The 13011-nt window shown below is 49.9% G+C and overlaps 1 protein-coding gene across 5 annotated transcripts in view, besides 1 other annotated feature; it reads right to left on the reverse strand.

The window, feature by feature from the left end:
• Positions 1-13011, reverse strand: part of SLC7A1 (solute carrier family 7 member 1) — an 86275-nt gene that overhangs the window by 7270 nt on the left and 65994 nt on the right. For all 5 annotated transcript variants that reach the window (XM_047430551.1, NM_003045.5, XM_047430550.1 and 2 more), the window contains 6 exons: positions 7449-7570; positions 6583-6805; positions 5634-5773; positions 2764-2866; positions 890-1107; positions 461-627 (listed from right to left, as the gene is read on the reverse strand). In XM_047430551.1, the coding sequence (XP_047286507.1) occupies positions 461-627; positions 890-1107; positions 2764-2866; positions 5634-5773; positions 6583-6805; positions 7449-7570 (973 nt within the window). The remainder of the gene's footprint in view (positions 1-460; positions 628-889; positions 1108-2763; positions 2867-5633; positions 5774-6582; positions 6806-7448; positions 7571-13011) is intronic.
• Positions 7287-7977: an enhancer, noted in NCBI's record as "H3K4me1 hESC enhancer chr13:30098107-30098797 (GRCh37/hg19 assembly coordinates)". NCBI's record gives its function as "activates a minimal SCP1, AML or CMV promoter by ChIP-STARR-seq in naive H9 embryonic stem cells {active_cell/tissue: H9 hESC(naive)}" and the evidence as "EXISTENCE:reporter gene assay evidence [ECO:0000049][PMID:30033119]".

Raw genomic sequence — 13011 nt, forward strand, 5'->3', positions numbered from 1 at the left:
CATCCCACCACCCCGGAGGGACTGCTCCACTGGGTCTGCTATTATGTATAAACTTAGGGGCAAGTGGCTTCATGAGCAGCACCCTTGATACTGTCTGGGGAAGAGGCAGCACATTTCATAAAACACTGATCACAAGGGACATTTATTTTCCAGAGAATTCAGAAATAGATGCCGAATATCCAGGGACTGGCGAGGTCTCTCTTGGCCTGTGTCATGCAGGAAGGTGTCAGCCTGCCCTTGACTACTCAGGGAAACGTCCAGGGGAGAAGGGCTGCTGCCTCCTTCCAGGGTCTGGTCCTCTCTGTGCCTTCAGGACCCCTGCCCCATCTTACCTGAAGCTGGCTAGCAAAAACCTTCCTCGGGAGCACCCAGGCCCGGCTGAGCCCACGCAGGGCTGGCCAGGCATCAGGAGGGCCAGGGTCTGTGTACCAGGGTTCCTTCCCTAGGCCGAGCTGCTCACCTTAAATGAGAGCTTGGTCTTGCTCTCGGGCTGCCTCCAGATGACGCCCGTGACCACGGCACAGAGGAGGGCAGACCCTGCGAGCAGAAAGACTGCCCACAGCGCCCCTTTGGTGAGAGCCTCCCTTCCAAGCACGGTCACAATGCAGAAGGTGATGATGAGAACAGCTAAGGGGGAAGGAAAAGACAGCAAGCTGCAACTCAACCATTTCCCAATTTCCCACAGGCATCCACTGTTCTCCCCTAAACTTGTGGAGAGAGAGGCTCCATTTCCGAAGGCACAACTACAGTTAACACAGAGTAACTATGTCCCAGTCCAGGAGCAAGACAGATGCTCATCTTCTCTGGCACCTTCCCCCAACTCCAGCTCCACTGCCTAGAAACCATGCAATGCCAACAAGCAAGGCCCCAGGGAAGGGCTAGCTCTTACCTATGAGGCTGGTTGAAATGTTCACAATTAGCCCAGAGATTTTGGAAGGCTCCATGTTTTTGGGTGAGAGTATGGTTTTCAAAGAGAACATCTCTGCCTCTGGTAAAAAGCCCAGCTGGGAATCATTGGTGCTTGCCAATTCATTTTGGTCTGCTGGATCTAACTCGTCGGAAGTACTGGCCATCTGGTATACCAGGTTAGGCTGCTCTGGCTGGTACCTGGGAAGAAAGGCATTGCGTGACCGCCACATCTGCTTCAAGCAAAATGACGTGCACCAACTCAAGTTCTCAATAAGCCTCCAAAGTGAGCTGCCCGGGACACAAGGTATAAAATGGGAAGGATATAGTCAAATGCTGCATTGTAGATAGACGAGGAGAGACCGGGAACACCACCTCCCGCTGTTGCTTCTGGGGAACATCCTCCATGGTCTCTCCTTCGGGGCGACATGACCTCCACCATGAGCAGCCCAGAGGAATACCCTGAGAGGATCTCTCTTGCTCTGAGAAGTGGCAGCGGCCCTCAGATGCTAAAGATACTAGGCCACTTCCCACAAAATTACTGCTGTAGGGAGCAAAAGGGAAGGAGAGAAATAGGAAGCAGTAATGCCAGGATCCTATTTGGCACAGAGAGCCAGAGAAATGTGGCTGCAGGCTAGATGGATTTGAGAAATTCTATTTGTGTGACTTAATTGGATCAATTTATTTTAAAACTCCAAGTACCTTAGGGTAAATAATTCTATGTGGCTTGTTGGAGGGCCGAGCCTGCAGCGTGATTTCCAAGACATGAGCTACCTGCTAGTGGAGCATCCATTCTGAATGAGGTGCCTTATCTTCCCACCCGAAATGAACAGAGTGCAAATCTTTTCCACCAGCTTTGAAACACAGAGTTCTGTATGAATTATTTTGCATATGATCAATTCTAAGAGGGAGTATAAAGATATTAACCATTTTTGTATGGATTCACTTGTGCAACCCCACTCGGTCAATTAAGAAAGTGGGAGACCTCAGAGAATATTCTAGCATTGGGCCCCTTGGGAGGAATAAGGGGTCCCCAATAGTCTTAGCTGATTCTAAAGAGCTTCTGCTAAGGCTCAGCCCGGGTTTTATGTGCATCAGCTGCTGAACACCTTGGAAATGCAATCAATGGCCTTGCAGGTGGGAATCCCTGAAAAGAAATGAGGAGGCTCTTGAGGGGAGACCAGTGCTGAGCGTCTCCATGAGCACAGGTTCTCAGGATGGAAGCTGCGCAGGGATGTGCTTTGGGAGTGGGTGCTGAGGCAGGTGAGAACACCGAGACACCAAGCCTAGGCCCAGAGCAGCTTTACTGTGACTGGGAGAGGCTTGCCTGGCCCCCACCAGGCTATAACAAGCTGACTCCACAGTGTCTCTGAACATCAACCTAGGGCACGCCATGCCACATAATGGGATTCATTCCTCCAGCCACAGCGCAACGAAGCTGCAGAAGCATTATGCTGAGCTGGGTTTCACAGGCCTTGGGTTTTCCTAACTCCTACCAGGGCAGCCCTCAATCCTCTCTGTCCCAAGAATCTGAACCAAGTTGCAATCAGTCTTCAAACCTTCTGATCCCAGGATCCTGGCCTAATAGTTGGACCGAGAATCTGTCTCTATCCACCCAACATTTAGCCATAAAAATGAGGGCACATGATAGAGGGGGGTGAGGGGCCACCCAACTCTTGCCAAGGACGTCCTCCTAACTGGGCTCTCAACCCAGGTCCTCCCCTCTCCTTGGCAGCTCCCAATGGAGCTATCACCAACCTAAAAGTTTCATTCATCACATAAACCATAGCTGAACTGTGAAAAGGCTACCAGGTGCATCTGCATTTCTGTCATGAGACCCCCAAAAGCCATACATACCGTAAGACCAACACACAGGCAGCCACCAACGAGTAAGCCAGGAGAGTGCCAATGGACATGAGGTCCACCAAGTCCTTCAGGTCAAAGAGGAAGGCCATCACAGCTGGGAAGAGACAGACACCAGGATCTGTGGAGGGCCATCTGCATGCAATGACAACCAGGACCACCACTGCCGCCCACCATCCAGGGCAGCGAAGGGGGCTGCTTTTACTCCCACCCCCTCCCTGGCCTTCCCATGGAAAGACACAGCTTAAAGGGAAGTCAAGCTTCCCTTTAAGCTTGTGATTAAATCACAGACACAGTCCTCAACAGACAGTAATCATCATTAACATTTGTATAGAGAATCCCTTCATTCTTGTGATTTTAATGGCAACTTTGTAAGCCATCCCTACATTATAGATATAAACATTCACAAAGGTTAGGAGACTCATCTAAGGTCACACAGTTCACAAGCATAGGGTATAAGGATGTGAACTGGGTTCTTATGACTCTGAGTCCTGTGTGTCTTCCTCTAGACCATGCTGATTCACAGACTCATGTGCATCCATCCATCATCCATCCTATCGGTCCATCCATTCTCCATCAATCCATCTGTCCACCTATCTTCCATTCATCCACTCACCATCCATCCATCAATCCATCTCATCCATCTGCCCATCTCCCATCCATCTCATCCATCTATCTATCCATCCATCCATTCATCCATCCGATCCACCCATCCATCCATTCAGCATCTATCCATCTACCCATCTTCCATCCATCCAGCTCCGGTCAGAGTGTGCCCATCATTGGGTTCTAGGTACTCACTATTGAACAGGGCAGACCACAGTCCCCAGCCTTCCTGAGTGTACCCCACCAAGACACAGGCATTAGTGGACAACAGTGCTGGGTGATAAAGAAGGGCAAGTCTGGTGCTCTGGGAGGACTCACAGGAGGTCCTAACCCAGGCAGGCGGGCAGGAGAGCAGAGTTCTTCACATGTGAAGTCACTTCACGTGGAAGAAATCTGAAGAGTTGTTCTCAAACAATATAGTATCAGCCCCTTCACTGTGTCCCTTGCCTTTAAAATGAATTAAAACCTGCACCCTTATTTGAACATCTTTTGTGAGCGTTGTGAGAGTATACGTGTCTATTCACATGGGTGTGTATGTCAAGTACTCATTAAAAAACAACTTGGCTACATCTGCTTTGGGATATTTTCAAAACACATGCAATCAACACAAGCTAAAATATAAACACAAAGCCATTATTTTTCCACAAATATCTCTCAAGCCCCTCTAGATCACTGCAACTAAAACAAATTTAAATGGAGAATAAAACACAAAATTAAAGAGCAATGAGGGAGGGCCTTTTGGATAATCAGAACAGCGCCCAACTGTGCATGCCACAAATGCCGATGTTCCTACTCACGGGAAACTTGAGACTAATTTCTTCCATGTGAGGTGATTTTAGAAAACCAAATACTTATTTACCACTCCCACCAAATGAAAAGGGTAAATCCTGGATTTTGTGAATGGCATGTACTTTACAGTCACTTCAAAGAGCATGATTTGATCTCCCTCTATCAGCAGGGGAAGGAAATTAAGGCCAGTCTTTAATATGATCAAATTCCACGTAAAGCCTGAGAAAACAATGACTATTTCCAAGTCCTTAATCCTGTAAATATACTGGTCACATTCTGATGTATAGTGCCTCTCAATCTGACCACTGTGGTCACTCTCAAGAGCATAGAATCACATAAGAAAATGTTTCATAATTTAAAAATAGGTGTGTTTTATTATACAATATTAATCCACAAAACTAAGCACAGTTTGCTAAAGGCATAAATGCTAATAAAACTTAGTGAATAATTCATTCATTTAAGAAGGTCAAGTGCCTTACCAATGGCTATTTGACAAGTCGCTGTGTTAGAAACTGTGACTGATCTCACATGCCCTAATTTGCCAAAAAGACCCACTGCTCTGCTCAGACTCTGGAAGGAGCTTGGCTACTTTGGCATAAAAACAACCCTGGAATCACAAGGCCGCTCCACCGCCCTGGGTGCACATCCTCGCTTCACCTCCCTGGGCCTCCACTTCTACATCTGTACAGTGGGCTGACGTCTGCCTTTTGGGGCTACGAAATGCAATTGCGAAAGGGGCGGGCGTCTGCCTCTCGGGGCTATGAAATGCAATCGCGAAAGGAGGAGACATAGACCACAGGTACAGTGTGCACACGAGCTTCCTTGTAGGTTCTCCTTTCCTTCATCTGGGGCCCTGGAACACCTACACGGCTCAGATTAGTCCACTGATTTCATCCATCAAAATGGTCCTCTCAGCGATGAGGCTCATCTGACAAGATGAAACTCCACTGGGTCTGCTATTACGTATAAACTTAGGGGCAAGTGGCTTCATCAGCAGCACCCTTGATACTCTCTGGGGAAGAGGCGGCACATTTCATAAAACACTGATCATAAGGGACACTTGTTTTCCAGAGAATTCAGAAATGGACGCCGAATTTCCAGGTACTGGCGAGGTCTCCCTTGGCCTGTGTCATGCAGGAAGGTGTCAGCCTGCCCTTGACTACTCAGGGAAACGTCCAGAAATGGGGAGAAAAGGTTTTCGAATACTGTGTGTTCTAAGCTCCGCCCATTGAGATGAAAACCAGAGTGCAAACTGTTCAAAAATTCTCTCCCATCCTCTGTCAAACGGGCCTCTGCCTTTTGTCAAAAGGTCAGTCAACTTTCAATGAACCAGGCTCCAAGTATAAAAACCAGGAGTTAAAAAGACCAGTTAAGATTACTCACAGACCAGAACTGCGCAAGACGTCTCCCTAGGGAGTAATGACTCCATTGTTAAAACATTTCCATGTGAAATGAGTTCTAGTACTCACCAGCAACGGCACCCGAGGCTAATGTGGCGATTATTGGTGTTTTGGTCCTATCATTGACGTTGGCTAAGAATTTAAATAGCAGTCCATCCTCAGCCATGGCATAGATAACCCGAGGCATGGGAAACATGGAACCTAGAAGACTAGATGGGGAGAGGCAAACCGCGTGAGTGAACCTGGCTCATAAGGGATAAAGGCACCACATCCAGCCATGCTCGGTTTACCACGGAGGAGAGGGAGTCTGAGCTCACCAAGAGCTGCCGTCCCTCCACGCTGGGTGAGGCCTGTGGCTAAAAGACTTGGCATTTAATAAATCAATCCCAGAAAGAGCACACACTGTGAATAAGGATTAAGGTAAAGAATAGGGAACATCTATCTAACATACACTAGCATGAGACCCAGTACAGTCTTTACAGATGGAAAACTGTATTTATTCCTGCAATTATTTCTAGCTGAATCAAACAGAAAATACAAGCATCACTGCATTCATGAAGATTTCCCTGTGGTAAATCAATATTTACCAAATAGCTCTGTTTATACAGGCTAAGAGGAAATACGATTGGTGAAAATGTTTCTCATTAAAAGGCACTTATTCCCTTCATCAAAGTAGCTTCTGCATGACAGCTAAACTGAGGGCCAAAATATGGTGTTCAAACAGCGGGCCTGTTCCAGTGGCCAGATTTAGGGACAGAGAACCAGTCCCTTGCTAAGCAGATGATGCTGAAAAGCCAGCCTCAGGTTCTTCTCAATAACACAACTCTTGGGATGATGAATACTGGCCAACAAGGGAAAAGCCACATGATCAAAGCTGGGTTGGGTACTGGGTCTATTTCAAGGGTAAAGAATGCTGGCAGCCGATGTGTGTCTCGCATGGCTGTACCTGGCCTGCTATAGCCTAACCCCTGCTGGTGGTTCCACCCCTAGGAGCAGCCACCACAGAAAGGCCTCTCACCTGGCGGAAAGAGCGCAGAGGGAGCCCACGGCCACTGCGTACTTGGCACCTTCCCAGCCCACGTGCTTAAAGGCGTCGGGCAGGGGGCTGTTATTGTCCAGGCAGAAGTAGGGCATCATGAGCGTGAGGGCAGCCGACACCCCAAAGTAGGCGATGAAGCAGATCAAGAGGGACGCCACGATCCCCACGGGGATGGCCTTCTGTGGGTTCTTCACCTCTTCACCTAGAAGCACAAGGGGTCAGCGGAGGAGGGCACACAGCAAGAGGCAGTGTATCTGCCCACATGACACCCAAGGCCTCTCAGTGCCCCGGAACCCACGTGACCCTACGAGAAACCTCCCTCCAGCACTCAGCCCTGTGGGCACTGGGGCCTCCTGTGCTTCCGGGAGCAGAGGGGTGGTGCTCAGGAAGACACATCAGACAGCCCATGGCCCTGCAACAGTGTTCTCGGCCTGAATGTGGTGATGCAGCCAAGGAAGAGACTTGTTTCCTTTGGCAGAGAAAATCTGGGAGGCTCACTGAAGCCTGGCCTATTCAGTCCGCCAGGATGACAATGTTGTGAATAGCCTCACTCCTCCCGGAAGACGCTCAGATATGAAATCAGGCCACAGCCACACAGCTATGATCCCATTCTAACAGCGGAACCTTAGCCTTATTCAAGATCCAGCTTTCATCAGGTGTTGACAGTTGGGGATGTGATAATGGTTTGGGGGTGGGAGGGCTTGGCAGGAAGCTACAAATCTACATGTTGCTCATGTGTGAAAGAGCGGCGACTGGACCGTGCCAGCAAGGAGGGAAATGGCAAGCATTGGCTTGTTTGCCCAGGGTGCAGGAGGACCCGGGACCGCAGTGGCTGGCGGACATACCTGTGGTGGCGATGCAGTCAAAGCCCACGAAGGCATAGAAGCAAGTCGCTGCCCCCGACAGGACACCAGAGAACCCGAAGGGCATGAATCCACCAACACCGGGCTTCCCTTCTTTTGTGTCACTAGAAAAAAGAGCCGCAAACAAATGTCACGTCACTCGCTGCGCAGTCTGGCGTAAGGAGCTGTGCTCATCTCCTGATATGAGCGGAACCTGGCAGTCAGCCCTCCCTGTTACCGCTGCCAGGCCCTGGGCTTCAGACGCTGAGTCCAGCCACTGCATGCTAACTCCGTGTGTGCAGGCCTCCCTGCTGTTCGTGGCCCAGGGTCACAAGGGTGCAGAGTATCGCCCCTTCCAGAAGCATCTTCTAAACAATGACTAGGGTAGGGAGACGTGGGGACTATGAGGCAGGGGTCCAACAGGAAATGGGGGAGAAACCAGCCACGCGGCCAGTCCCACACCCTTCTCCCCAGGGCCCCTCGGAGGAAGGATGCAGAGCCGCCAGCCAGTCCTACCCCGGGTCCCATATTTACCAGTAACTCAATCTCAAAACAAACAATTCCAGAGAAACTAAGGCTAAAATAAAAGTCTTTGTCAGCAAAGGCATTCCTTAACTGCCTGTATGCACAAGGTGGAGTCCAGGAGGGCGCAGCTTTTGCCAGGTGTGTGGGGCCCGGGCACAGCTGGGCACTGGCCCACGGGAGGGGCTCAGCACATCTTTGCTACACTGATGAACGCAAAAGCAAAATAAGCACAGTTTACAAACTCAGGAGTCCAGAAGAAGCAGGCTGCTTAAACATTCAGAAAACAGTCCCATAAATCTGACACCTGTGCCGAGACACGGTGCCCAGGTTCAGTGTGGCGCTATGGCCCCTCCCAGGGCCCTGTCGGGGGTCCTTCAAGCCCTTGTTCCCTGATGTACAAAGCCCTGGCCTGTCCCCCCACATGCTGTGTTCTGGGGGTGCACCATGCAGTCAGTGCAGGCGGCTTCCCTGGCCACTGTCCCCTGGTCAGGAGGCACATAGCCCCTGCTGGTCACCAAGTAACCCTAAGCTTTCTGCATCCAACCCTCTGCTGCCACCCGAAAAGCAATTGCACTCCTTGTGGTTCAAGAAGGGCAGTCCCTACTCCCACACCTTTGCCAGCCCCAGGGCCGCAGGCTTTCTGTCCTGTGCCAGGGTCCCACTGGCTGGCCTGGAGCCCAAGAGGACGCTCACCACCCACCTCTGTTGCCCCCACTCAACCATATTGACAGCCACCCAGCTGCACAGGACAACCTGCCCTAAACCTTGTCAGCATGAAGAGAGGAACCCTGTAGGATGCTCCCAGTCCTATAAACACTGACATCCCTCAGGTTGGCTGGGCAGCCCATTTGGTGAACTTTGCTTTCAATGGGATTTACTCACTGGCTGATAAAACAGACAGACAGACAGGATGGACCCAACTACTTTCTAATGGGGATTAAGCCTTACTAATTCCTAGAGGATCATCACAGCTCTCAGTTACAGAAACTGCCATGAAGACGCTGGAAGTACATGCATGAGAAAGCTCATGTAGATGTGGGGTTTACTGTGGTCCCATAAACAGTAACGAGAGGAAACCCCCAGAAATGTACAAGTGATGGACGCAGGAAAAACTGTGGCCAAACAAAATTTTAGTTTGTTGTGTTAGAGTATGACTAAAACTAGCAACCCAAGTTCAAAACCAAGCATCCCAGGACAGACAAGTCAGCAGGGCCGCAGGACAGCAAAGGGCTGGAGTGGAGCTGTGCCCAACTCATCCAAATCCCCTCGCCTCTCAGGCCAGAGGCCCCGCCGGCCACCCACTCCCACCCTGGCAAACGGCTTCTGTTACTCAGTGGCCTATGCTGAAGACAAAGCAGGTGACAACCAAATGGCTCAAGAGGGGGAGGATGAGGCCAAGGGAGGAGGGGAACTCAAGAGTCAAAATGGCTTCTGTGGGCCCCACTTTGGTGCCCTGTGGCGGCCAGGGTGACAGACGGGCAGTGAAAAGCCCCCAGATCCCCACTCAGCTCCTATGACATCAAGAGCTACCAACATGGCCTTGCGTTAAAATAAATGCATGCCCACTATGGGAGGCCGAGGCGGGAGAATCACCTGAGGCCATAAGTTAGGGACCAGCTTGGGCAACATAGTGAGACCCCATTAGTACAAAAAAAAAATTTTTTTCTGATTAGCTGGGTGTGGTGGCATATGACTATAGTCCCAGCTACTTGGGAAACTGAGGCAAGAGGATTGCTCGAGCCCAGGAGTTTGAGGCTGCTTTGAGCCATGATTGTGCCACTGCACCCCAGCCTGCGCAACTGCACCCCAGCCTGTGCAACACAGCAAAATCCTGTCTCTAAAATAATTTTTAAAAATTAAAAAATAAATAAATAAATGAATGCTATCATGGATAGATGAGCTTTAGGCAACCATGAGGCAGAGGCACCTAGAAAGGTCCTGAAACCTCCATTTCAGGGCAAGTGGAAAGTGCAGGGAACTGCATACATGATTAAATCCCAGAAAGAGATGAACTCACAGAAGGGGACTAAGAAGGGCTGGAATGTGTCTTCCTCACGCAGACAGGTAAAGCACACACAACAATAAAAGCATGGAGAGAAGGAAGCAAGGGCGATGGGTGAGCGCAAAGCGAGGAGGCAAAACAAAAGGCATCCTCCCCGGCTCCTCAGGACAGTTGCAGAAGAGACTGGATAATCCTCCAGGTTACAGAATGGGGGTGAAGGCACGTGCTGTGCTGCGCCAACTCCAGAGCTGTGTGCAACCGTGAGCATCCGTAAACCTCCCTGCTGACTGTGACCCTGCCACACCTGCTCCTCGTACTGCGCCGCTACACCTGACCTCAGGAGGACCCACAGCCGACTTCAGGAGGACCCGGGTGCCGGGACCCTGGGCAACCATAACAATGAACAAGGGCCTGATTAAAAAAAAAAAAAAAAAATCTGCAGGGCATGCTAGTAAGCAAGAATGCAAGGTGCAGAACAATATATACGGAGTGCCGCGTTTTGTGTAAGAAAACAGAAATAAAATATACATATTTACATTTGCTTGTGCTTACACAGGGAGAAACTGGAAGCTTACACACACACACACAATTAGAAAGTTTACCTGTGGGGGTGGGAGATGAGGTGGATGAAGAAAGGAACGCATTGTAAATCTTTTTTAAAGCGTTATGAACCACGTAGTATTTTACCAACTCAAAAAGTTAAATTCCACCTTTAAGAAAAGATTGGGTGTTACTGATGCCAGTGGCAGAGTATCAACACAAAATAACCACAGAATCCATTCTACAGAGGCGCAAACCAAAACGTAGAGATATTTACTAAGGGTCTCTTTCTATGTAATCAATAATTAACCTTTTACATGCGTGTGGCAGTTGTGTTCACTCATCATCTGGCAACTCACATGTGAAAGAGAGGGGCTGCCAAGAGCCCTCACCCAGCAAATGTCGCCCCGAGACAAAGTGAGCTTGAGTCCTGGTCTCAGCTCAGCGCTCCCTGCCCTGCAGCCTTTGACCAGCCCTTCTGTGTTCCACTCAGCTGGTCGCTCAGAAGCAGCAAAGACAATGCCTGGCATAGAAAGGGGTCAGGCCCGAGGGTCTCCCACTGCATCAGTGGTGAACTTCCTGCAGCAGGGCTCCGCCACCCTCACACCAGCCACCCTGACATCAACTGTTAGTTGTGCTCAAAAGCCACACTCCCCTGTTCTTCTACGTGGTAATGGAAACTTTAATTATTTCAGCTGGACATATGAGCCTTAAGAATCAGGACTGTGTGTTTCCCAGAGTCACTAGCTGCAAGGAGTAGCCATCTGGCTAAGTTCTGATGGAGGATGTTTGAGCAGAAGTGGTGTCTGCATCTGCTGAGAAATGTCCAGGAGACGAAGTGGGGAGGGAGGGGACCCTCTGCTGTTCCCTTCTCCATCCCGCTGACTGGAGCTGGAGAAGCCGCCTTCAGCCCTGGGGCGCCTGGCCTGGATTCCTGGCTGGGTGAAGCGACAAGCTGGACTGACCAACCCCAGAGGTTAACCAAAGAAAACCAAAGCCTTATCTTGTTGAAGCCAATGTTATTTTGGGGCTTCCATCCTAACTGGCAGACACCATCCAACAAAACCTTCTCAACAGGCTTCCATGCAGGGTTGATGCTTCACTATTGCTATGTCCACAGAACACTGGATGGGAATGCCAGCGGCAGCCTGAGTCAAAGGCACGAAGAGCCATCCAGACTGCAGGGTAACTAACACTCCTCTTCACAGACCAACAGACAGACCGACCTAGTTCCTGGGGGCCTTCCCAGGCGGCTAGGAGACAGCATCCTAAAATCACAAACCCATGTGGTCTCACGGCCTCCCATGCAAGCGGAAGCTCCTGCATGTTATATGGATTGGTTGGGCAGTGCCCTACTATTTCAGAGGAACCAGCAATGTCATGCAAGACTACATGGCTGTTGTCAGAAACACAAAGCTACGGCTGGAAAAAAAAAAGAAAGAAAGTTGCTTAGATATTTTAACAACATAATAGAGCATGCCAAGGAGGCTCCAGTCCTGCAGAACTCCACCTCCTAACATGGCCGATCCCCTGCCGTCCCTGTGGTCAGGGGGCTGGGCCCTGGCAGTGAGGCCGTCAGATGTAGCTAAGGGGGCCCCACCTATGATCAGGGATTGGGGCAACAAATGCTGCTTTGTCTGGGGGCCGGTACAGCTAGCTCATCATTACTAGGGTACCAGCATGAGGATGACCAGTGAAAGTAAATACCATTGGCTGGCACAATCTCTTCATAAAAATAATAAAATTAAATCTCGATTGGCAACCAGTTAACAAGAGGTGCCCTATATATTTCATTCCTGACCTATAACTAGCAACCGGTCGAATATGCTCTGAGTTTTCAAAGGCTACACGTTACTTCAACACATATTTGGAATTGGCTTCACTCCACCCTAGATTAATGGACACCCATAAATTTGGCATAAATATGACTCTGAAATGCTCGGGATGACATATTCAAAGGCCTCAGTTCTCCATAACAGAGTTTAGGAAAGCAGTTTTATTAGAACTGCTAACCACAAAATATTAGTGTTAGTGAAGTTTCGTGCACCGAATGCCATAGTTTCCTGTTTCCATTCAAGTAGTCACACATCAATGCCTGCCCACTGGTAACAATACTGGGCGACATGGCTGGCACCTGGCCCTGAACCAGTGACCAACTGGGCATACGTGACTGCTAAGATTCCCAATGTGAGATAGTGCTTCTCAGCCTCCCTTGCAGCTCTATGTGGCCCCCAGTGGACTCTTGCCAATGGAATGTCTGTGTGTCTTCTGGTCTGTCCTGAACAGACCTGAGCACTCTCCTCTACGCTCTCTTTTCCCTTCTGGAAGAGCTGGGTCATGCTCGTGCCTACAGCCAGCTCTGACCAGGCAGATGAGGACAATGTCCTGGGGGAAGATGGAGCAAGACAGAAGATGTCTAGGTCCACAGAGGCCTGTGGCAAAGCTGGCCAGCCAACGCGGACTGCTCACTTCAGGACTGGAAACATCTCTTCTTTAAAG

This window comes from Homo sapiens, chromosome 13 (assembly GCF_000001405.40).
Source record: "Homo sapiens chromosome 13, GRCh38.p14 Primary Assembly".
In the NCBI taxonomy this organism is placed as follows: Eukaryota; Metazoa; Chordata; class Mammalia; order Primates; family Hominidae; genus Homo; species Homo sapiens.